Below are 26,644 nucleotides of genomic sequence, written 5' to 3'. Positions count from 1 at the left end.
GCTGATGTGTGTGTTTGTGTCTTAGTTTTCAACAAAAAAGTATAAAAAGAAAAGTTAAAAAAGAAAAAACTTATAGAATAAGAATATAAAGAAAATATTTTTGTACAGTTGTACATGTTTGTGTTTTGTGTTATAACCAAAGAGTCAAAATGTTTTTAAATTTTCAAAGTTTATAAAGTAAAAAAGTCACAGTAAACTAAGGTTAATTTATTATTGAAGAAGAAAAAAATTTTATATAAATTTAGTGTGTTCTAAGAATGCAGTGTTTATAAAGTCAAGTCTATAATAGTGTACAGTAATGTCCTAGGCCTTCACGTTCACTCACGACTCACTCATTGACCCACCCAGAAAAACTTCCAGTCCTCTAAGCTCCATTCATGGTAAGTGCCCTATACAGATGTACCATTTTTAATCCTTTATACAATATTTTTATTTTACCTTTTCTATGTTTAGATACAAAAATACTTACCATTCTGTTACAATTGTCTATAGTACTAAATATAGTAACATGCTATACAGGTTTGTAGCGTAAGAGCAATAAGCTATATAATAAAGCCTAGATGTGTAGTAGGCTATACCATCTAAGTTTGTGTAAATGCACTCTATGATGTTCATACAACAATAAAATTGCCTAATGATGCAATTTCTTAGAACATGTCCCCATTGTTATGCAATGCATGACTGTATAGCATAAGAACGAGACAATGTAAGAAAGCTATTAAGTTCCTTTCATAATTCATATGCAAATCCTCTTAACAGTAGTAATGAAGGGAGAATCCTAATGTTCAAAGTAGTATCTCAATTTCACAAGTCTTAACTGATCCCCTAAATTTACCTAACCGTTGAGAGCTCATTGCCATTGCCACCAAACAGGTCTTAGAAGAGAAAAGAAAGGCAAAAGTCGTCTATTTAATCCCTTAGTCCAAGCCCCTTCAGCATATCTGAGCCAAGAATAGGATACTTAAATACTTACTGAAGGCTAGCATATAACAGAGGAAAATAAATAGTAAGTTACCTACAAGTAAATAGACTTGCTTAGTAAATAGAACTTAGGTATCTTAATTTAAAAAACAATTCAGTTTAAAGTCCATTCTGGATGCATTAACTGCCAGTCTGAGCCTGCCTCTGTGTGACAGAGTCCCATCTCTCCTTAAAACACAGATCAGATGTTTTTACCCAGAAAATTGAAGGAAAAAAAAAAACAGATCACAGTGGGTAAAACTCAAAGAGAGATGGGCATCCCCCCTCCTGTCTGTCAATCATTCCTTTTAGAACTTTCGGATTCCCTATATGAATCACCCTCTTCCTATTCCCAAAATAAATTTATGGATTCCTATTGGCAGACTGTAACTCAATAGGGTTATCACCTTAACCTAGTTTAAACAGGTATTAAAAAATGTCTACAAGTTATCTGACATTCCTCCCTTCGAAGGGTGAAACCGAATTTCACTGCCCTTGAACATGAGCTAGATCTAGTGACTCAATTCTAACAAATGAAATATGGCACAAGCAGCAGCCCATGACTGCTGAGACTAGGTCTAAAAAGACATTTCAGATTCCTCCTTGCTCTGTCTCTTGGATCACTTATTGAGGGAGAAACCAGAATCAATAATTCCTTGTTCAAAATAATTTTTGCCTTGGCAAAGAGAAAACTCAAGCAGTCTTTTGAAGAAATCCATGTGGCAGGGGACTGAAGCCTCCTGCCCAAAGCCATGTGAGTGAACTATCTTGTAAATTACATCCTTTATCACCAGCCAAGCCTTCAGAGGACAGCCGACCCAGCCTTACCAGACACAACCACCCTGTTAAGCCACCCCTAAATTTCTGATCCAAAGAAAGTATGTAAGATAATAAATGTTAACTGCTGTTTTAAACCATTAAGTTTTGAGATAATTTATTAGGCATCAACAGATAACTAATATAACAGGGCAATTATATCATAAGAAGATAACGTATGCATAGATGATGTTTATTTTAACTATTATTGGAATATAACACAGTAATACTCTCTGATATTCATACTAAAGATAAATTAACATGGTGGAAGAGTAGAAAGTTTAGCAAAAGATAGTAGAAAAGAAAAGGAAATAATTATTCCAACAAAGATAGTGACTCTTTCCCTCTGTCTAAGGAACTACTACTTGGTTTCTTATATTCTACTCAAATAGCCCTTATCCACTGAGAGACAAACATTTAACCCCAATTCTCTTCTTCCACTGACTTTGTCATAAGCAGGAACATTAGTTTAGAGCTCTTTTTAAATTGTTACAGAAGATACTATACTCAACATACAATCTGATGTTAAATAGGTATAATATTAATGAAGTAGCATTGACGTACCAAGTGTGGCTGGAGCAATGTTCCCACATGAAGTTCCACATTTCTAACCTTTAGTGGCTGAGTGTATAATTTTTTCTAACACATCCTTAAATACATAAATTTCATAGGAGTGGAGTAAAACAAGTCTTATGCACTTTCCCAGATATGCAACCCAATATTTCCTAACCTGGGGAATGCAAGATGATTTTTGTGATAACTTATTTTTTAATAGTTACACAGAAATTAAAAGAAAAGTGTCTAATGTATCAAACCTGTGATTTGTCGAATAGCATCACTACAAATGAGAATAAAGCAGACAGTGCTATAGTAATTAATATACATTACAGGCATCAGCACCTTGCATGCCAGTGTATGCCTCAAATCCTTGGATATCCAACTTTCTTTTTAACTAATCAGAAGTTTAGACAGATTTCCAATTCATCATCCCATTCTCAACAGTGACATAACTTTGCTTCCAGGAGCTGACAGACTTTTAGAATATGAAGTATACACAATATATATGCTACGTCAGAGAAGACAGTTAATATCTTTTCTATTTTCCAACTAAATAAACTAGATTTGACATTTTTTATGCTAGTTAGCATCAAAAGTGGAAAAAAGCAATCATCTAATTAGTACAATAGCCTCATCAGTATCTTTAAGCAATTATCAAGCAGAATATCTGATTTTTAATGAGGAAAATTATTCCATTCTTATCACTAGGGGACTTAGCAAATTTATTAGATTACTATTTACATTTCATACTTTATATTTTAGTGGATCTTATTTGTTTAAAATGTATAATATGTTTTAATTTTATTATACACAATAATGTTACTAATTTATTAAAGAAAAAAGCACTATGTGAATAAAGCAAAAAATTTTAACTAGAGTAGATAAATGACAAAGAGTTCGGCAAATACTGATCTGAACTTTTTGTGTGTGTGTGTGTGTGTGTGTGTGAGATGGAGTCTCGCTCTGTTGCCAGGCTGGAGTGCAGTGGCATGATCTCAGCTCGCTGCAATCTCTGCCTCCCAAGTTCAAGCCATTCTCCTGCCTCAGCCTCCCAAGTAGCTGGGATTACAGGCGCGCACCACCACACCTAGATAATTTTTATATTTTTAGTAGAGATGAGGTTTCACCATGTTGGCTAGGATGGTCTTGATCTCCTGACCTCGTGATCCGCCTGCCCTGGTCACCCAAAGTGCTTGGATTACAGGCATGAGCCACCGCACCCTGCCTGATCTGGACCTTTAAACTGGCCTTTGACCTATACTCTGCTCTCTCCTTAGACAAAATTGTCCTAATTCATCCACCCCAATTCTTACTTTAGAAAAGTAGTTCAAGAAATCCATTCGTTTCTGTCTCCCTCTCTACCATACCCGCCCCACCATCTGTCTCTTGCACATGTGCACACACATGCATGCATGCATACACACACACACACACACACACACACACACACACACACACACACACAGAGGTTGGGAGGCATTCTATAGCAAACTGCATACTTTAGCTCTCTTTTGAGATGCAGTGTACAAGTATGCTACTGATGCTGCTGTTTCTCCTGCTCAACTCTGAGCCAAAGCTTATAGACACCTTTTCTCAGCTAATGTTTCAAATCCTTAAACAGCATTGTATGAGAACTTCAGTGTTCATGTAACAGAAGTCTAACAGCTCCTACCTCCTAGGTATCTAAAAACATTAGGAGGCATTGATGATGATTCTTAGTTACAAGATGCTAAAGCACGTGCCATTTTGTATAAGTTTAAGAAATTTTGTACCAAAGTTATTTAATTTATAACGCTACTAACCAATATGTCTCAATAGCCAAAATATACTATTACCAACTATGTTACGGTAACAGTATGTATACTATATATCATCTTAAAATACATATATGTAAAAATGTTTATACCTATTTAAATTAAATTATACAACCTTTATGAGTAAACAGTAAAATTAATCAAAGGTAATAACATGTAAATAGAGAAAGTCTACAAGGATTTTTTTTTAACTGCTGAAGTCACTTGTTAGGGTGTTGTTTATACTTACATTACCAAAAATGCCTTTACATACAAGCCAATAATATCCTTAGCCCTAAATGCTGTTAGATGTTGCTACACCTTACCTACAAATAGCAGTTAGCAGAATTAACTGAGGAAACGGAAGGATGGGGATGCCAAGGGACCAGAAGACAGGACTAGGAAGAGAGAATGGGTGGCTCTACAGAAAGATAAATTCTAAACTAATTTAAGAGAACTTAATGACCGACCATTCAACGATGACTTCCACTTCCACAATAATTTCCTTTGCTTTCACTGGAAAAATACTTGCCTATTGGCACTATAGGAGGAGTCCATTATGGTTCCAACCTGAGCTGGAAGTGATGAAGTGTAGGAAACTAAGGCTGGTGAGAACTCTTGAGGGGAGGTAAGATATTCAGGTGATGCCTGTTGTTGAGACGGCTGATGTTGAGCTAGCATCTGCTGTTGAAAGAAAGCCTGCTGATACTGCGGCATCTGAAAAAAGAAATGATATTATACAAAACAATGCTCCAGTCCTAAAGCACTGTCAGCACTGCATCTATTTACTATGTTCCTTCCTTTCACATTGGTGACAAAATCAGAAACGTAAAAAACAATCATCTACAGAAGCAGCTCTATTACTAGAAAACTACAGCAAGATGAAATAAATCTTTTTAAAAAGTTGTAAAGGTAGGCTCACTTGGCCAGAATCAAAAATCCTCTTTTAAGTATTTTAAGAAAAAGAGTAGCTTAAAGTCACTAATATAGTGGTTGCTGTTAAAAAAAAAAAAAAAAAAAAAAAAAAGGTCAAATTATTCTCTGAAGAAAATATACTCTCCCTTTGGGTTTCATTTTTTTACTCAATAGATATGTGCTGAATGAAAGAGACATGTGACGAAAGACTATAGGTAAGACATCATTTCCCTTATATAATGACATAAGAGAAGTACGTTATCGGTCAATTACTATGTGCCATATTCAGGTGCCATAGTTCAGTGCAATTTAAAGCTGCTTGAGAATATATGACTGGCTTTGATAAAATACATGTCAATTAACTTACTTGATTTTGAATTACTAAATTCTGAATAATATGATTCATACTGTGAATTCCAACACCATAATGTATACTCAGAGAAATCTCTAGAAATTATTTAAGTTACCATTGTAGGATACTGTGATGCAGAAGGTTGTGGTTGATATACCGAATGCATTAAAAATTGTTGTTGAAGCATCTGTTGCTGCTGTGTTGCATGTTGATACTACAACGAGAAAATCAAATTAATAAATGTTATGCCTTTTTTGTGTCAGAGCCCTTTTTTAAAGTATTGATCTTACCATAATGATTTGAGAAATCAGTAGTCCAAACATCAATACAAAATAGCTATACTCTAAATTACTATAATTTATTAATAAATATGCTTATCAGAACTGGTTTCAAAATTATCAACAATTAGATTCAATTAAAACCATTTTTAGCACAATTTAAGGATGTTTAGAAGAAAGCTACCAAAACACATTTACTACCTTTTCCTAGAAGATAAAGACACCTGAGTGACTTCTAACCAAGCCCCATTACACTAAATCTCCCCTTCAGTGGTGTCTTCTGGGCATCCCATGGTACCACCTACTTACTACCCTCCACTCTGGATCTATCAACCAAAACCAGGAGGGTGACAAAAATCTAAGACAATGTTACTTCTGAAAAGCCTAATATCACCTTTCCAACAATAGCATTATTAGTCTGTGAACTCAAAACGTAACCTCAGATAATATTCATTATAAACTGCAGTGCTTATTTGTGAATACTAAATGTTTCAGATGAACATTCTTTTCTTCATAAGGCCACAATGCAACCTATTTTACAGTATTCTTAAGTATTTCACTGATTGCAAATTAAATACGTATTCTTTCATAATTAGAAAATTGGGGAAAGTGTTTACTCAAATCTAGAGTTCAAGGTGCCCATGATACAAAAAGGAATTCACTGATATTCAATTTGCTGCATCAATTTCACACTACTTCCATATCTAAAGAAACAAAAAAATTACCTGCTGCATATAAGCATCTTGAAGTAGGTGGTGGTGGTGGTGGTGGTGGTGCTGCTGCTGCTGCTGCTGCTGCTGCTGTTGCTGTTGCTGCTGCTGCTGTTGCTGTTGCTGCTGCTGCTGCTGCTGCTGCTGGTGAGGATGACGATGCTGTAAATGGAGTTGCTGTAATCTCCAATCTCCCTGCTGTAGTTGCTGGAGTACTCTATGCTGCTGTGGCGGCTGCTGAGGAGGTCCCTGACCCAATAAAATTTCAGGGCCATTTCCAGGTCTTAGTGCCCCTAAAGACAGGTCCAAACACTTACATTAACATACTAATGATTTCAATTAAAAAGCTGGATTTCAACATGCTCATTTCAATAATAATTTAACTAAGGCATTTATATCCTTATTTATAACACAAAAACTTCCATATGCATAGAGTTTATAGGGATTTACTTTAATTGTAAGTACCGAAGAAGCTTAATTTTGTCGTCTACAACTCTGAACAAGTCAACATCTTAGAAACACTTCATGTTTCATACTTCGGCTCTCCATGAACACAACATCCATGTTAGTTTGTTCTACACTGCTCAACAATATCATGTACTATCATGAGTATGTATTAGTACCAATATAATTCTCTGTCTAGAATGCCACTTTCCACCTAGTGAAATTCTTATTCTTTAAAGTTTAGCTCAAACCTCTCTTCCTTATTCCTTCATCTAGCACTTCCACTCAGTTTATTACATTTCAGTCTGTCTTGCACATGTTAATGACTTACATGGCTATTTCCTAACCAGGGACCCTGAGGGAAGAGATGATGACTTACTCATCTGTTAAGAGTCCCAAAAAACCTTTTATACAAAAGATGATTAATAAATGCTCACTGTAATGGATCTATTAACACTGTCTCCTAAATGGATATTTATTTATAAGCTCCATAAATTATACCCTAGGCAAATCCTATGAATAAACTTTAAAAATTAACTAAAAAGTAAGATATACACTTAATGCAATATACTAATATACCATAATTTCTATATTCTCCTCTAATAAACTTACCCTACATTCAAATGCAACTGTTCAATCCTAGAAGATAAAAAGAGTGGGGAGAGAATGCAAGGAGGGAGAGAAGGGTTCTTTTTTCATCAATGTTAGTATCCTCAAACGTCCTCAGACCTAAGTACAACAGCTTTATGAAAATAGTTTTATAACTATTTCTAACTTTTCTAATTATAAGGAAATGCATGTTCATTTTAATTATCCTTGAAAATACTTATAAAAATGTAAGTTAAAAAATGAAAATCACAATTCCACCACACAGATACAACCATCATTAGCCTTTAAGTGTATTTCTTTCCAGTTGAAAGAGTACTAAAATAACTACTCAAAAATCATTCACCTTGAAAATTTTTATTTTTTAATTGGCAAATAATAATTGTACATATTCATGGAGTACATATTGATGTTTTGATACATATTTTGCATAGTGATCAGATCAGGATAATTAGCAAAACGGTCACTGCAAGCATTGTCATTTTTTTGTGTGTGTTGGGAACACTCAATATCCTCTTTCTACCTATTTGAAATTATACAAAATATTGTTAACTAGTCATTCTACAGTGGTATAGAATGCTAGGATTTATTCTTCCTATCTAGCTAAAATTTTATATCCTTCAGTAAATCTCTCCCTACCCCTCACTTCCCTCTATCCTTCCAGCCTTTAGTATATTTTATCTCCTTGAAAATTTAATAACAACAGCCCCCTAAGTAACTTATAGGTTAAAAAAAAAAATCACAAAGGGGCCAACGTAGAGCTCAGGCTGTGGCTTCAGAGAGTGGAAGCCCCAACCCTTAGCAGCTTCCATTTGGTGTTGAGCCTGTGGGTGCACAGAAGTCAAGAACTGAGGTTTGGGAACCTTGGCCTAGATTTTGGAAGATACATGGAAATGCCTGGATATGCAAGCAAAAGTTTGCTGCAGGGGCAGGGCCCTTATGGGGAACCTCTGCTAGGGCAGTGCAGAAGGGAAATGTGGGGTCAAAGTCCCCACAAAGAGTCTCTACTGGGGCACTGCCTAGTGGAGCTGTGAGAAGAGGGCCACCATCCTCCAGACCCCAGAATAGTAGATCCACCTACAGCTTGCAACATGCGCCTGAAAAAGCTGCTGATACTCAACGGCCAGCCCATGAAAGCCGCCGGGAGAGACACTGTACTCTGCAAAGCCACAGGGGAGGAGCTGCCCAAGACCATGGGAACCCACCTTTTGCATCAGCATGACCTGGATGTGAGACCTGGAGTCACAGGAGATCATTTTGGAGCTTTTAAATTGGACCACCCCACTGGATTTCAGACTTGTATGGGCGCTGTAACCCCTTTGTTTTGGCCAATTTCTCCCATTTGGAACGGCTGTATCTACCCAATACCTTATCCCCATTGTATCTATGAAGTAACTAGCTTGCTTTTGATTTTACAGACTCATAGGTGGAAGGGACTTGCCCTGTCTCAGAGGAGACCTTGGACTGTGGACTTTTGGGTTAATGCTGAAATGAGTTATGACTTTGGAGGACTGTTGGGAAGGCATGATTGGTTTTGAAATGTGAGGACATGAGATTTGGAGGGGTCAGGGGTAGAATGATATGGTTTGACTTTGTCCCCACCCAAATCACAACTTGAATTGTATCTCACAGAATTCCCATGTTGTAGGACGGACCCAGGGGGAGGTAACTGAATCACGGGGGCGTCTTTCTTGTGATAGTGAATAAGTCTCATGAGATCTGACGGGTTTATCAGGGGTTTCTGCTTTTGCTTCCTCCTCATTTTCTCTTGTTGCCGCCATGTAAGAAGTGCCTTTCACCACCCGCCATGATTCTGAGGCCTCCCCAGCCGTGTGGAAATGCAAGTCCAATTAAACCTCTTTTTTTCCCCCAGTTTCTGGAATGTCTTTATCAGCAGCATGAAAACGAACTAATACGTATGTATAGTATGACTCCATTTATTTTATTTTATTTACTTACTATTTTTGAGACAGAGTCTTGCTCTGTTGCCCAGCCTGGAGTGCAGTGGCATGATCTTGGCTTACTGCAACCTCCACCTCCTGGGTTCAAGTGACTCTTGTGCCTCAGCCTCCCAAGTAGCTGGGATTACAGGCATATGCCACTACACCCAGCTAATTTTTGTACTTTTAGTAGAGATGGGGTTTTGCCATGTTGGCCAGGCTGGTCTCGAACTCCTGGCCTCAAGTGATCCACCCAACTCGGCCTCTCAAAGTGTTGGGATTACAGGCAGTGAGCCACCATGCCCGGCCTCCATTTATTTTAAATACAACATGAATTATTTATATCTGTATATACACATGTAAAAACATAAAAAAGGACTGGGAAGATGACCATTAAACAGCGCTGGTTAACTCTGGGAAGAAAATGGAGGGAGACATTTACATTTTCACTGAATACTACTGTATAATCCGAATATTTTAAAATACAATACTCACGTGTTAATTTTTGTATTATTTTTAAAGGGTGAAGAAATGTTAAAAAAAAATGCACTTATTGGGGGAAAAAGCGGAACATTTTTCCAACTTAAGCTGAAAGCATGTAAGAAAGAGAAACACGGCCCCTGACATCAGGATTAGGCCTGGCAATCACAGCTAAGTCTTGGTGCTCTCCTGTTGAATAATCTCATACAACATTAGACAAGGACACTATGACTTTGATGGATCAAAATAAGACCACTCCAAAATCATGTCTGAACAGCGACAAAACCATGAACATTGTCCAAACCCCAAAAATGCCTCAACATCTTTAGCTACTGAGGCTTTAGCTTCCTTCTTTCTAGACAAAATTTATATTAAGAAACCTAAACATATCATAACACCTCTTGCTTTTTTTTCTTTTTTTCTTTTTTTTTTTTGAGACAGAGTCTCATTCTGTCACCCAGGCTGGTGTGCAGCAGTGAGATCTTGGCTCACTGCAATCTCCATCTACTGGGTCCAAGGGATCCTCTGCCCCTCAGCCTCCCCAGTAGCTGGGACTACAGGTGTGTACCACCATGCCATTGCTCAGGCTGGTCTTGAACTCCTGGCCTCAAGCAATTCGACCTGCCTTGGCCCCCCAAAGTGCTGGGATTACAAGCATGAGCCACTGCACCCAGCTTCATATGCCCTCTTCTTGACAGTATCCAATACAGAGCAAAGCCTACTTCCCTTTGAGTTCGAGACCAGCCTGCCAACACGGTGAAACCCCATCTCCACTAAAAGTACAAAAATTAGCTGGGTGTGGTGGCAGGCCCCTGTAATCCCAGCTACTTGGAAGGCTGAGGCAGGAGAATGGCTTGAACCCAGGAGGCGGAGGTTGCAGTGAGCCGAGATCGTGCTATTGCACTCCAGCCTGGGGGACAAGAGTGAGACTTCATCTCAAAAAAATAAATAAATAAAAAATAAAAACATCACCTTTCCTGAACATATACTTTACTTGATAGTAACAACAGTAGTTAATAGTTAACATTTATCAAAGGCATACCGTGTATCAGGTAGCACATTAAACAGCCATTTAATCCTCCCAATAATCCTATTAAGATAGGTACTAGTACTTTTAGAAGCTATATTACTAAAAAATGGGAGAAATAGGACTCAAATCAGGTTCGTGAGACTCAAAACGTACACTCTTAACCATTAGGGTATCCTCATTAAAAACATTTTAACATTAAAACACGACAGATTTATCATGAAATAAAGTGCAAAACAGGATTTCTTTAAGGTGAGTCTTCAGGTTATACTCCCAGATCCTTGAGAAAAATAAGTTTACTCAAATGTTACGGACATTTCTTTGGGGGGAAAAATTTTTTTTAAGTACCACACTGTACCATAATGCTTAGGAGATACTTTAGATGAGTAAATTTTTCTCAAAATCAGGTAAGTTTTTATGTTGTAATGTCCATATGGATGGTTCAAGATAGCCCTTCACCAAGGCTCTAGGTGCAATACAAAGACATAAACTTTGTAAGACTAGTGTTTCAACTTTCTTTCTCATATAACATAGACTTTTTCCATACCGTTGAACTTTATTCCCAACCTCAAACCCTATTAGTTGATGACTCTAGGGATAAGAGTTTGTATTTATAGTATCAAAGCAAATTGTGAGTTTTTTGTACCATACTTTTATATTGCCAGTAACTTCCCTTTGCCTACAACAATTGAATTGTTGAGAAACCAACTGAATTTATTAGACATCAATAGAAAGTTTCTGAAAGCATTATGTTATCTACTTTACAATATTAAGGATCACCTGAGGTCAGGAAATCAAATCATGAAAGGTTTATTAACATTAACCTTTAAGAGGATGAGGTTGGCGGGGCTCTATTACCTTTTGGTCTATGGTTACCGAATTCACCAGGAGCAAGGACTTTAACAGGTGTTGCTGAACTTTGAATGGTCAGCACACTGGGAGTGGCAGTAGTAGCAGAGTTGGCCTTTGGTCTTTGTCTTGGTGCAATTGAGGTTTCTGTTGGTCCAATGGTATCTGTTATTCTACAACAGAAGAATATATTTCATTCTAAATACTGGGATTATTTCTAATTTACTATTTATTCTATAAAGCATCCAACTCAACAGATACATTTTAACTATTACTGATAATCGCATTAGTCCTCATCTTTCTCCTAAGGCTCATTTTCAAGTATTAAACGTTTACTAAACACAGAAAAATAAATAAAACTAACAATTTTCCTTAAAACAGTACACAACCATTCATAATCTCCTACTGAAACCAGCAGAAAAAGAATATAGTCCCAGAAACTGCTCTTAAGGAGATGAAATGATACTGAAAGGAAATAAACAGAAACCTTTTCATAAGCTTTTGGACAAAACTGACAGCCACTCTCTGAACTTGTCAGGGAAATAAAAATAAGAAACAACAAGGAATAATCTCCCTTTACTTGGACTCCAAGGCATAAAAAAAGAAAAGACTGTGGCCTAGGGCACGTTAAACAAAATAAGCCAAAACTTTTAACAGATGCCACCTGCTCACATTCAACTTCTTGAATCTTTAACTTTGCTTTACTTAGAACACAGAATGGAAAGTATATAAAATTTATCCCACTAGGACTTAGTTTAGGCCCCAGATGTGAGTGGTTAAGCAGTAAACACAGTTTTGAAATCAAGAAACAATAAATATAATTTGAGAAGACACCAACATTTGCTTTTTTTAAAAAACAAAAAAGGTAAAATATTTATATATTTATCAACTTGCTTTCTATAAATTAAGTACAAAAACTCAAATACTTGTTAATAGGACCAAATGTTCACTTTCCAACAGGATTCACAATAAAATATCTTTATTAAATCCCCTTACACATTTTCAAGTGAATACTTAAAATTTTTACATACATATGATTTATGAAGCACACATCTGCTGCATTTGCATCTATCAACAAGTGCACAGATCCAGTTATTTCCCAATATCTGTGTGTACCACAAGAGGGAGCCCTATTAACAACTATCTTTCCAAGAGGTACCAAAAAAAAAAACGTGACACTGAATCAAAAGATCTTAGAATTATATGTATGCCGTTTTCTGAAAGTAACACTTAAGCTCTAGATGGGATGGGGATGGTAAAAGACATGAAAATTTAACTAATAGGCCAAATATATACAGATATTACATATATATATACACCGATATATATATCGGTGTATATATATATGTAATCAATTATATCTTGTTTTAATGATAATCAAGTATTTACTGACATTAAATTATTGATGTGGCATTACAATCAATGCTATACTCCCTAAGCTCAAGTAATTTGGGGGAAATATTGTACACAATCTCTCTCTTTAACTATCCATTCTGTATTAAACGGCTAGTACAGGCCAGACCTGATGTTGCCTTGTTGCTGGTCTAAACCCTCTTTACAGATTCACAACACACGTAGGCATAGCAAAAGCCCTAAGAAGCATATTAAAAGTCTGTATACTTTGTTCACTCTGATGTCTCTGTTTTATCAATACAGTAATATGTATTGTACATTTACTGATATCCAGCAAAACACTGCATAACACCCTGTCTTCAAAGAATTTACAGCATACCTAGGAAGACAGGGCATATGTTAGTGGAAATGTAATAAATATAAGATAGTAAAAATCATCAGTGCCAAGCTAGTGCTGTCAAGAATTTATGGAGATGTAATTGTACTTTTAACCTAATTTGGCTACAGAAGGCTTCAGGTAGAAACTGGGGTTTAAAATTTTCATAATAAGTTTGACTTTATTAGGCAGTGACAAAGAAACCAGGCATTCTATGTGAAGGAATGGGAAGAAAATGCCTGGGCAGATTAGGCATAGGGAAGATACAAAATCGACTGAAGTTAAAAACAGTAATTATTGCATCGATACTGCTGTACAGTCTCATTTTCACTATTACAACAGTCACAGAGCTGTTTTTCTGCTTCCCTTCTTTTCTCCTTGCCATCACCTGAACAAAATCATCACAGGTTTCCTAGAACTCAGACTCACACTCTCCTGCTTAAAATCCTTCAATGTTTCCATCTGCCAGGCCAGTGATTCTCAGTGTCTCAATCTTTAAGACATGTGTCAGATAAATTTCACATCTTAAACCATACTAAGAGCAGATGCAAAGTTTGGGGAGATGAGAGCGACCTTTTAAGAAGGCAAAGAATACCACAGATTGAAGGCAGCTGAGAAACCCACAGGCGCTTTTTGAAAACGTGGGTAATGAAACTGCTAGTAAATGATTTCTCCTCCCAAAATGTGCTCTTTACATGGAAAAAACTAAATTTTTTAATATTAAGCTTTGTATACATTTAGATTTTTTCAAGTTTTCACTAATATTCATAAAGAGTAAATTTATATTAGTAACCAATAAGTACCAATCAACCTTATTTTTTAATATACATAATGTTCAGATTTAACATACTATAAATAAGCACTGTGAATTTTAATAGCACTATTTCATTGTCTTGTAACTCTAAAGCTATAACTTGCATTAGGGTGAAAAAATAATCAAATCATCATTCTTGTTCAGCTGACTTACGCTTTTTTTAAAAATCTGCACCTACTTTCTCAAAGATTTAATTATTTACTAATTATTTTAAAAAACAGAAGTCACAATAAAATTCAACTGACAAATCCTACAATAATTCATAATTAACACTCAACTATAACAGTGGATGCTAATTAAAGCTATGTCATAGATAAGACCAATTGCTGTTCAACCTGGATTCCTGCAAGTTAGATATAACTTTACACCTTCACCTCTTCTCAAAAGAACATTTTGAAATTCAAGTGAATGAAGATATTTTTAAAGTAACACCATTTTTTAAAATAAGTCATTCGCAAATGAAATTTTAACAATGTATAAGTAACAGATCATTTACAACACAGTCACAACCAAGTCTCAAAGAGTAGAACTGACTAGAAGGTTGAAAATTAACTGACCTATAGGCCAAAGTCCAAATTTCTCAGCATGATATATAAACAAAGTTGTTCATGATTGGCATTTATCTACCTCTCCAGCTTCATTTCCCACTACTCCTGTATATGTCCCCTTTTGTCCTAGTCCTGTAGTTTCACAATAGTCATTCTTGCCTAAACTGCCTGCCTGCTATAATTTCACTCCACACCCTTCCAAGTGATTGACTATTCATCATTCAAGGAAGAGTGCAGCAACTCCCATCCGCAGGGAAAGCATCCTTTATGTGCTCCTGTTTTCTCTGTTCCCAGTCTTTCCCCTCCTCCACACTCTCAAAGTAGCCTAATATCTATCAGGTTGTAATCGTTTACTTGTCAATTAGAACGTGAACTCCTTGGAAATAAAAACTGCTTTTTTTTTCTTTGTGTTTAAATTGTCTACATCTTGCATATAAAAAGCATATGAACAAATATATTTTTGTATTGTGTAAACAAATAAACTTTGCATAAATAGCATACAATACAAAATTGCTGTGACCAAGAAATCTCCCCAAATGTAGTATTATACCTGTCTGATAATCTAAGATATAATCCTGCTTATTAACTTTTAAATTCAAAAAAGTGTGAGGGGGGGAAAAATCAATCATTAACAGATTCAGTCTTAACTTACATAATATAGTTCAAACTTATTATTAATATAATAAATACTCTGAAAAATAAGATTGAAAACATATACCAGCCTTAAAAAGTATTATAATCACTCATTACAAATTCTACAAAGTACATACATATTCTATATATTCTAGTTACCTGTAGGAGCTATTTTTTTCTTTCCTTAAATTAAAAAAATAAACATCTATAAACTCAAAACATAGTATTTCCTAAACTAGAGTTGCTATGTGATGAAAATGACAAATCCTGTCCAAAAAAAAGACCCGCTGTCACATCATCAGTTAAATAATCACTTGTCATAGAGTGAACAGTTCCAGTGAGATGATGCCAGACTCCTTATCTAATATTTTTAAAAGCTTATTTTGTATTTGCTATCTCAATTATACCACATACAATAAGCAACACAACATTCTTTGTGGATGAAGATGATATTTAATCAATTACACTTGCTAGGATTAAAAACAAGACCTATCATTTTTTTTAATGCCTTTTCAATTTCAGCATAGTTTTGCCTACCTGGCTTTTATTTGGCTTTTCCTAGCAGCTGCTTCACTAGCAGTCATCGGTTCAGGAAGAGCTGAAGGAATAGAAGAATTCTTGGAAGAAAAAAAATAAAACGTCTCATTTTAGTTTTTTATTTTAATTGCAGAAAGTTTTTGTAAGCTATGGATATATCATTGAACTTTAAAAGTACTATGAGACACTATTACTTTCACATCAGATACCTATAAATTATTCACATGTATTTGCCAGATCTAATCTGCAAATATCACTACATGTTACACAAATGTCAATTTCATATTCATGTGCCACAGAAACCTTGGAAAATAAGCAGAAGAACACCACTGTATCCATTTATAATTGGGTAAATCTTGAGTAAAAAGAAAGATTATATTACACTCGTAAATCAATAACTATTTTACATTTTGGAAAAAGCAACAAACACCAAGGATAAGAATTAAGTGTTGTTTCTACATACTACAGATAATTTTCAAGACACAGAATGTAAGGCCTGGAAAATGAGGGCAGAAGGCCTTGTTTATTTGTCTATACCCAATGTTTAGTTCTTTGTAGGTACTCAATAAATACTTGCTGAGTAAATGTCGAATGAGTCTACTTATCTACTTTTAGAACTGCAAAGCTTTCAGCTTCAACAGAGAAAAGAGTACATCAATATGGCGAGGGCTTCACAAAAAAAAAAAAAAAAAAAAAAAGGAAAGGTACCACATTCCTTCTTTTTTCTTAGTGGGGTAGATTAAGTTACACATAAAGGAAACCCTACAGAAACAGGTCAGGCCAGAATGATCTTTACAAAGTCAAGAATGGCTTATAATCAGTGATGATTGCAGAACCTTTATTAAGATTGGCAGAGACTTGCCATACACCATTCACCTAAAGTAGTTAAATGCACTGTACAGTCAGTGAATAAAATTGAAAGCTTTTGAATAATACTAACTATTGCCAACTGAGCACCTTCCATGGACTAGGCACTGGGTTTCACATGTAATCCTTATAATTACTATCCTTGTTTTACAGAAAAAGAAATGGACATTAAAGTAACTTACCAAAAGATTCAAAGTCAGTCACTGATAAGGACAAAACTGAATCTGGGTCTATTTACATTGCCTGTGCTTTTTAAAAAAAAACTTTTTTGTAGTTTTAGGGGATACAAGTGCAGCTTTGTTATAAGGATATACTGCATAATGGTGAAGTCTGGGCTTTTAGTATGACCATCACCCAAATAGTGTATATTGTACCCATTAGGTAACTTCTCATCCTTCATCCGCTTCCCACCTTTCTGACTTCCAATGTCTATTACTCCACTGTCTATATCTATGCGTACACATTGTTTAGTTCCCACTTAACAAGGCCTGTGCTCTTTATACCAAAGTTTCCCAAACTTACTCAGTTAACAGTGCTCCGTGTCTCAGTAATTGTTTACAACACTTCTAAGAAAAAAAAAAAAAAACTAACAGTCCTGTTTATTAAACTGTTAGGCCCAAATAACTTAATAAAATTAGTTTTGTGCTAAGTCAGAAAGATGTCCCTGTGTTTTCCTCAAAAATGCAAAATATTCTGCCTGAGTCTGCTGCAGCTCCCCAAGGTATCTCAGTGCATAGTTTGGGTACTGAAGCTTTATACCACAAATATCAAACACACAATCAGATCACTTGTCATGAAACAAGAAACTCTGAGTTTTAGCAACAGCAACAAAAAAAAAGTAACTCTGAAAGTAAATATATTCACATACGATAAAATGAATTTTAAATTCATATCCTACTTGAAAATCTACTTACATTGATGTTGGAGACTGGACAATCCTTTTTGGCAAATTTAAATGCAAAATATGACACTTGAAATATATCAGGTCTATGTTCCGGATCTGGTTCAAGCATGAACCCTGCAAGAATAGATCAAAATGTTAAGAAGTTTTATGAAACACACATTATACTACTTAGGGGCACATTATAAGGATAAAAAATATGTATTTTCTGTTCCACTCTAAGATCAGTGATGATTCTAGCAAACTTTATTAATGCCTACAGAAAATGCAGAAATTGCTATTTTATAAATAAAGCATTATCCCAAGCTAAGGGTAGATCAATCACAGAACAGCTCTACACTAGAAGTATGAATGACAAACTTGATTATTCTATTGAAAAAGTGACACAAAAGAAAAAGTGAGTTTAGTGAACACTGGGGAATTATTCAAGAAAGTTCCAAGGCCATAGTAAAAAGGTCCTTCAAGATAATTCTATTCAAAATAATTATTACTATTATCCAAAATACCTGTATTAATTTTTAAGTGATCCTTAATCATTAAGAAAAGCCTAAATTGTATATGTTATAATCTAACAAAGTAGTAATGGATTGGCACTGTCGTTTTCCAAAAACATACTCTCTTCCCATATTGATGCTAACAACATTCACCATAGTTCTGTATCTTAACATGTTATCCATATCATGCTCAGAAATATGGGCAGAGTTTTCTGGTTTTTATGAACAGATTTCAAAACAACCTTACAGCATTGCTTGAAATGCCTGATCTTTTTTCTACCAAAATGACCACTACCATTTGGTAGTACTCCACTTCTTGGATAATTTTTAATTCTAAATTTCACAAGGTTGACATTTATACTCAATTCCGTAAGTAAAAGATTTTGTTAAGACATCTCAAAGTCTACCTCTGCTTCATTAACTCTAAGTTGTTATAATGTTTAAATCCTTTTTAAACTACTTAAAATGTAAAATTTAAAGAATTAGATATTCTTAAGTTTGCTAATAAAATAATGTATAGAGAGATCTAAGTATGTAAATGGGTTAAATAAAATTATAAATCAAAATGAATTAAATCTTCCCTTCAAATTTAAGTAATATTTTGAATACAGAATGTGTGATACATCTTCAATGACATGATAAACTTATTTTGGCTAAAAACACAGTTATGTGGAAAGTTATAATTTATTTGAGAGATTCTGAGCTCAGTGTAAAATATACGAAAACTCTGCATGTAACTTGATTTTATATATTTATAATGCTAACATATATCACTTATAAAATGGATGTTTTTTATAATTTTTACCACCATTGCTAGACTGAAATAACTAAAAACATTTTAATTCTAATATTTGCTAGTTTATATTCAAACTCAATCCAAAAAAGATTTGAGGAATCTACAAAATTTATTTTATCTTGATACCAACAGATATTAAATGTTTTTAACGTAACAACAGTACACAAAATGGGGATAAATTTAAACATACTGTTAACAATAACTACTTATTCATATAATTTTAAAAACCAAACAAATCACACGAAACCTACCTAATTCACAAACGTATAGTCCTATTTTTCTATTCTAACAAATTTATTTGGCTTTTAAAATCTAATTTCAACAATAGCTAATTATACATATTTAGTCCTATAAAGAACTTGAAGTGGCACACAAAACTAAGATTTTTTTTAAATATATAAGAAAATTAAAACTAATGGAAAAATAGTGGCTTGGGGGTTGAGATGGACAGGATAATGAGGTCAGTTACAAACTACATATGATTTGGTCTTAAATGCAGGCCCAAAATTTGCTCTCCATTTTTTAGCTGTCAATATAAACAGGGCAACATGATCCATTACATGAATCACAGTGTATCTAATACAAAAACAAATCAGGTGCTAAGGAAAAACACTATTCGTGATACTGAAAGCTAGAGAGCAAATTCTCCGTTGAGTCTTTCTAAAGATAGCTCACACAAAGTGAACAACATCCTTAAGGAATAGCAGTGAGTGACACAGGGTCATGTTTTAAACACGCTATCAGTATGGACTAGTGGCCTAAATGCCATGCAGTAAAAGAAAGGGGTATGGTTTAAGAATGTACTTCTTTTGCGGCCTGGTTTAATCCAAGAAAAACTTTTTAAGTATTCAGAGAGGAATTAAATGATAGTTCAGGCATTCCTTGTTTTTCTTTGTTTTGTTTTCTTTCATAGCAATTGAAAAGCACTGAGAGAGAAAAAAATAAATTTGAGATTTTGTGTCCTAACCTATATGGGTATAGGTATTTCTGTATCTCAGGTTAAGCACAGCATATCCTCTAATGATTAGGTAGCTAGGTTGCAGGTAGAACTGATATTATCTTATAAGCAAACACAAGGACCTCCAATTCCCCTGGGTCATGTTTTCATGTGGGAATATATCTGCTGGAGCCAGTTTAGTCTAACTGTACTGATTCCATTTATGTGACATAAAATCAACTCAAAAGGTCAGAACTACTATTTATTTTAATAAAGAAGAACAGAAAATATTACAGTACATTAATATGGTAAATGTAAGCAATATTTCATGAAATGTGATTCAGTTTACATGTGTGTATTCTGTGTGTGGAGTGTATACCAGGTCATAACTAAAATGTATTTTTTATTAATATATTGAATCACAGTCACAAAAAGTTTGAAGCCACTGTGCTAGTGTAGTGCCACGATCGCTATCTACTACTATAACTCATTCTCCCCAGTGGGAAAGACAGTGATTTGTCAAATTGTTAGACTAGAAAAAAGAATGAAGCACCTCCACCCATCAATCTCTGATGATCTTTCTTTCAGAACAGGTTATTTTAAGAACATACATGTTCTCTGCTAAACCACATTTTGTAAGTAACCTGTCTCTGTGGAAGAAGTCTAAGGTTTTCCAGCATTGACTATGACTGGATGTTAATAAATTTGAGGGTTGGGAACAGAGGAACAGGCTCCTTCGGCTTTAGATCTAAATTTCATTCTGCAATCTGCTTTACCAGTACTAAAAAGTTGACAGTTTTATCTGATGAGCTCCAGTGGACCATCTCTGACTTGGTTCTAAATTCAAAGTATGAAAAGATGAATAATCATACCTAAAACCCACAGGTAGAACTTGGCTACATTTTTATCTCTGAATATTTCTAAATTGAATATTATCAGCAATTTAAAAAAAAGGAAAAAAAATCAATAAGGCATCTTTAAGCACTTAAGTTAAATAATATAATTTACTGAACTCTTCAAGAGAATGGGTTGCAAAATGTACCACTGGATTACTGAAGGATGTAATCTAGAGTGCGCAGAGGTATCACATTTAATACAGCTAAACACTGATTCAAGGACATTTCAGCCAGGCATGGTGACTCTTGCCTGTAATCCCAGCTACTTAGGAGGCTGGGGTGAGAGGATGGCTTGGGCTTAGGAGTTCAAGACTGCAGTGAGCTATGATCTCACCATTGCAATCCAGCATAGGCAACAGAAAGACCCTGTCTCTTTAAAAAAAGAAAGAAAGAAAGAATTTGACCCTTCAATTTTTATAGTTTTTCTAAAGCCATTTTCTCCTGCAAATAATTAAACCTCGAGTTCAGTGTTTTATTAATTGCTACTTCATGACAATAAAACCATATCATCTATTAACAAAATACGCTTTTGGGGAAAAGAAATGGATTAAGGAATGTATGTGTCCAGTTCACCTAAAAGTAGTATTACGTGATCAGGTTTAAAAACAAAACAAAAAAGGCAGAGAAACTAGAATACGCCCTTGTTTACTCAACTTAAAATGATCACCTGAATCATCACAAGACCATTACCACTGAATCTGATTCTACTATAAATATAAAATCAACTTTTTAAAACTTAGCCACGAAGAAATAATATTTCTCTGCTCACTCAATAGTGTAAATCTTTCTATTGACACAAATACTACTAACACAACCTAAGAACACAAAATAGAGCTTCAGCACTGAAGGTAGTATAAGACTAAAACTACAACAATATTTCTTATTGATGTACACACTGGTCTGAGGCAACTGATTTAATTATGCCTATACCAATATTGCATAGAAAAGCACAAAATCCCTGCACATTCCAACAAAAATAGAAGCTAAAGGAGCTGCCTGTTGCAGCAGCCAAGTTATACCATGGTTTAGTCAAGGACCTAAGCCAAAAATTAAAGTAGTTACCATTCAAGTTACACAAAACGAAGGATCCATGCCTGGGCCTAGATAAAGTTAAGCCACCATCTCTAATCTAACAGCTCAACAAATTTAAAAAGAAAATACTCTGGATAGAAGTCTCAAAACAATTTTCCTGCTTAAAATTTGTTTGGTTTTCCCTCCATAAAGACACATTTTTCTCTCCCACAAACTTCAAGTTATTGCCCTTAATTTCCCTGAAATGAGAAACATCCACTCCAATTTTCCAACCATAAATATTTCATGCATCAACATTATTTCTATCTGTTAACCTACAGACATTGTTATAGAAACTTACATGTTACTCTATATGTCCTACATATCTTAGTATATGGGTGCTGAAATGAAACTAAATTTAATAGCTGATAATATGTTCAATCATAACTAAAACATTAAGTGGCACTAAATAATGCCAGGATAATATATTTGGAATAGACCTGGTAACTACCCCGAAAAGTTACTGATCAGAGCCCTCTCTCTACAAGTAGAAACCCAGAGCCAGTGATTGAAAAGCTCCAAGGAAACCGTATCTTCATCTTTCATTTCAAAGGTACTTTTAAGTAGCTATTTTTTTTTTCAAAAATAATATAGGAGAAGAGAGTGGGTGAGGTTATAGAGGAAACAAGATTGGCCATGAGTTGATAACCAGTGAGGTTGGGTGAGGTATTTTCATGAGGTACATGAAAATTTATTGCACTGCTCTGTCTGTATTTGTAGAGATTATTAAATTTCCATAACAAATTTAAATGTAGTAAAAACAAGCAAGCAAATTCCTGGTTTCCCACAATATGGGTATTGAAATAAATTTAACCCTAATCGAACCAGTCACAGTGGCTCACACGTGTAGTACCAGTTACTCAGGAGGATCAGCTGAGCCCAGAAGGTTGAGACCAGCCTGGGCAACATAGCTAGATCCTGTCAATAAATACATGGCCGGGCGCAGTGCCTCATGCCTATAGTCCCAGCACTTTGGGAGGCCGAGGCAGGCAGATCACTGAGGTCAGAAGTTCAAGACCAGCCTGACCAACATGGTGAAACCCCATCTCTACTAAAAATACAAAAATTAGCCAGGCATGGTGGCATAGGCCTGTAGTCCCAGCTACTCAGGAGGCTGTGGCAGGAGAATCTCTTGAAACTGGGAGGCAGAGGTTGTAGTGAGCCAAGATCACACCATTGCTCTCCAACCTGGACAACAGAGTGAGACATGGTCTTAAAAAATAAATAAATAATAATAATAATAATAAATTTAGCCCCAATAGATGAGCTCTTAAGAGCAAAGATAAAGAAACCATAAAGCAATAAGTGAGAAGACCCTAAAGTTTAAAAAAAAAAAAAAAAAAGCTTTTACCTGGTGTTCATCATTACCTTACTGCACAAAATAAGGAGGTAAGAAAAATAATCTTAGTAGTTATATTTAACAGTATATTCTGGAATATATGATAATTTATGGTAAGCCTTTGGTAGATCCACCATTAACCCATAAAACCAAATTCCACTTCAAAGCATCCAAAGACATTTCTGCAGGGAAAGTATGCTCTAGTAAGTGTCTGACAGCATGTCCTGCCCCTATCCAGAAAATCAGAAATTAAGTTAGATGAAGAATTGTAATATTGATATCAAGAGTAGTTGTAGTACTAGTTTTTATAGTAATAATGACTATAGTATTAAAGGCTATCTCTTACTAAAAAGCACTTTTCAGCTTTCATTTAATTCTCACAATAACCGTAAGAGGTGGGTACTTTTTAAATGCCCCTTTTAGAAATGGGAAGACTGAGATAAATGGAGGTGCTCAATGTTCCATACCAAACAGGGACAGAGCAGATGCAATCCAAGGCTGTTTGGCTCTAGAAGTCTTGCTCTTAATCTCTGCAATGTACTTCTTTAATCACCTTACAACACAGGAGCCAAAAGACAACTGAGGCAGCCAGCTTTCAGTACATTCTTCATAACTATTCAGTAATCCCGTTAGTTATGTTTCTCATTCTCCTCTAAATGGTTCTCTAAGTTCTTTTCAACTCCTGGATCTGGAAAGTACTTCTTTCCTCATCCCCCATGTCGGCCCCATTACTTGTCTATTGGGAGAGTTAACAAAAGCTAAGAAAAGTTCTAAATATTTGACTCCACTACTTTTAAGAAGAAAAGTCTCCAGGAAAGAAAGAAGAAATTAATAGGTTTATGAAGAGTAAATAATGGTAACTACCCTTGACCTAAATTAGTAATAAGAAAAGTATATTCAAATTCTTAGGTAACCACAAACCATACAGTTTTAACAAAGATTTGTCATGGCTATTTCATTTTCAAAATTTCTGTGTGTTATAAAATGGATGCAAATGGAACTAATACGAAAACGATGTGTATCTTCTTATGCTTTATTTTATGTTAATATATGGAAACAACTACATTGCATGAATACACAATTGACAAAAGCTTCACATTCAAAAACTATGAGCCAAGCTAGGAATTCCTGATTTTTCTGAATGTAGGATTTATTTAAAAGTAATATAAATCACTAATTACATATTATAAACACAGAGACACTGAAATAAAATGGCAAAAGACACAAAAGGCCACATTTGAAAAATATAAAGAATAAAATGGCAGGCCAAACATGGTGGTTCATGTCTGTAATCCCAACACTTTGGGAGACTGTGGTGGCAGGACTGCTCGAGGCCAGGAGTTTGAGACCAGCCTGGGCATACAGCAAAACCCAATCTCTACAAAAATTTAAAAATTAAACCAGCATGGTGGCACATGCCCATAGTTCCAGCTACTCAGGAGGCTGAGGTGGGAGGATCACTTGAGGCCAGGAGTTTGTATAGTAAGCTATGATCACAACACTGTACTCCAGCAGGTCCTGGGCCACAGAATGAGACCTTGTCTCTTGAAGAAGACAAAGAAAAAGAAAAAAATTGCAAAGAATCTAAATGTTTTCTAAAACACATTACATTATAGGTAAGTAAGTTATGGTTTTAAAATCTGTACTTTATTAAGCTTTTACTACTCAATACAATACTTTAAAAGTCCATAAAGCCCTCTGACAGGAGGTAAAATACTAGGAATATTGTAATTTCAGATTGACTTGAATGCTTTTATGTTTTTTCAACCTTTTGTTATTTTTGCCTAGCTCTCAGAAATAAGTTCAAAGACATAATACATGATTAAATTTATACTAGCAATGATAAAAACTAAAATTAGCACATTTACTGACAGTAAGGGAAGCATATAATACACTGTAATGCATCAATTAACTAGAGCCTAATTAGATCTAAAATTATCAGTAGTATTTTTTTCCATCTCACATTACAAACACACATAACCCCACCCCACTCCCACATTACATACACACAGAGAAAAAAAGAAAAACCTAATCACAAGAAAATAAGATCCTACTACTGTAAGCAAATTAAATCACAAGTCAGACTAGATTTCTTCTATGCTCCCTTTTTTCTTTTGGTCATTTTTGACCTTTTTTGGAATTTTTACCCTTTTCTTTATGATTTACACGAGCTTCATAAATTATAAAACTTAGACATTTGTCAAATGAGTAATAAATATTTCTAATTTATGAGTTTGGGTTCATGAGTCTGGGGGAACTTTTAATGGTTTAAAGTTATATGGCAATGGATTAATCTTTTTTTAATAATAGTTCCTGGGATTAAATGTCTAGCTTATAAATTCCACATTCTACTCTTATAAATAATTTCACACTTATTTTCTTCAAGTACATTTATTTTTATATTTAAATCTTTGATTTATCTGCAATTTTAGCATAAAGAATGAAATAGAGATCCAGCCTTATTTTTTGCCCACAAACGGCTGAGAAAGTTGAACTGCCATCTTCATCATACAAACCTCAAAATATTTCTATTTCTCTCTTTTCTATTCCAGTGAGCTGGAGGCTACAACAAGGGGTACTTGAATGCAGAAAACAAAGCAGAAATGCTAGACACAACACACTTAATGCTAGACACACTCCGTGTTAAAAGGAGCTATTTAAATATTGTAGCTTCCTAATTTATTTTAATAGCTGATGGTCCTCCCCGCTCCTCAAATCTTTTTAATAAATTTTGCCTTGTAGATATATAAAAAGTTAAATTACAGTACCTACCAAAATGGAAGAAAAAAATCTTAAAGGAGGTTGGAAGAAAAATTAAAATATTCTTTTGAAATCGAGGGCCTCTCGAAGACTAGCCCTTCTGACATTATCCCTTGGTGTGTGCTACTAAATCTTACCCAGGGGCTTAAAAACATCTATATTAATCAATAATTAGGTTGCTTTCATTCTTATGTAAGTTTTTAAACACTTTTTTAAATGTTTTTTTCTTTACTATAGTTTCACAAAATTTTCATATATGAAATTAAGACTAGATTTAAGTAAAGGAATGTAAATAGTAGGCCCTAAGTACAGTATCCTACAATATTTTCATACATTTTCCCAAATACTTACTTATTAAGCAATGTATGTTACGGGAGTAACGAGAATTGTCTGGGATGGTGAAGTTGCCATCACAGATAGCAACCTGACTCTCACCAAAAGGAAGAGTGAAGAAACAAAGTTTATAGAGTAGACATCCCAGTGCCTGTAAACCAAAGAAGCATAAATATCATTAGAGCTCAAGTTAACAAGACACAAAAATAGCCAAAAACTCAATGTTACTTTAAAAAAGTCATGTTTCTATACTGCAGCAAT

The 26,644-nt window shown here is 34.9% G+C and overlaps 1 protein-coding gene across 7 annotated transcripts in view, besides 1 other annotated feature; it reads right to left on the bottom strand.

The window, feature by feature from the left end:
• BMP2K (BMP2 inducible kinase) overlaps positions 1-26,644 on the bottom strand; it is a 140,016-nt gene that overhangs the window by 38,908 nt on the left and 74,464 nt on the right. For all 7 annotated transcript variants that reach the window (XM_047415932.1, NM_198892.2, NM_001419799.1 and 4 more), the window contains 7 exons: positions 26,402-26,534; positions 17,771-17,874; positions 15,990-16,069; positions 11,738-11,901; positions 6,398-6,675; positions 5,510-5,608; positions 4,660-4,844 (listed from right to left, as the gene is read on the bottom strand). In XM_047415932.1, coding sequence (XP_047271888.1) covers positions 4,660-4,844; positions 5,510-5,608; positions 6,398-6,675; positions 11,738-11,901; positions 15,990-16,069; positions 17,771-17,874; positions 26,402-26,534 — 1,043 coding nt within the window. The remainder of the gene's footprint in view (positions 1-4,659; positions 4,845-5,509; positions 5,609-6,397; positions 6,676-11,737; positions 11,902-15,989; positions 16,070-17,770; positions 17,875-26,401; positions 26,535-26,644) is intronic.
• Positions 14,709-15,003: an enhancer, noted in NCBI's record as "tiled region #10702; HepG2 Activating DNase matched - State 6:EnhF". NCBI's record gives its function as "activates a minimal TATA promoter and a strong SV40 promoter by Sharpr-MPRA in HepG2 cells {active_cell/tissue: HepG2}" and the evidence as "EXISTENCE:reporter gene assay evidence [ECO:0000049][PMID:27701403]".

Source organism: Homo sapiens, chromosome 4 (genome assembly GCF_000001405.40).
Source record: "Homo sapiens chromosome 4, GRCh38.p14 Primary Assembly".
In the NCBI taxonomy this organism is placed as follows: Eukaryota; Metazoa; Chordata; class Mammalia; order Primates; family Hominidae; genus Homo; species Homo sapiens.
This window is presented reverse-complemented; position numbering and strand designations above follow the sequence as displayed.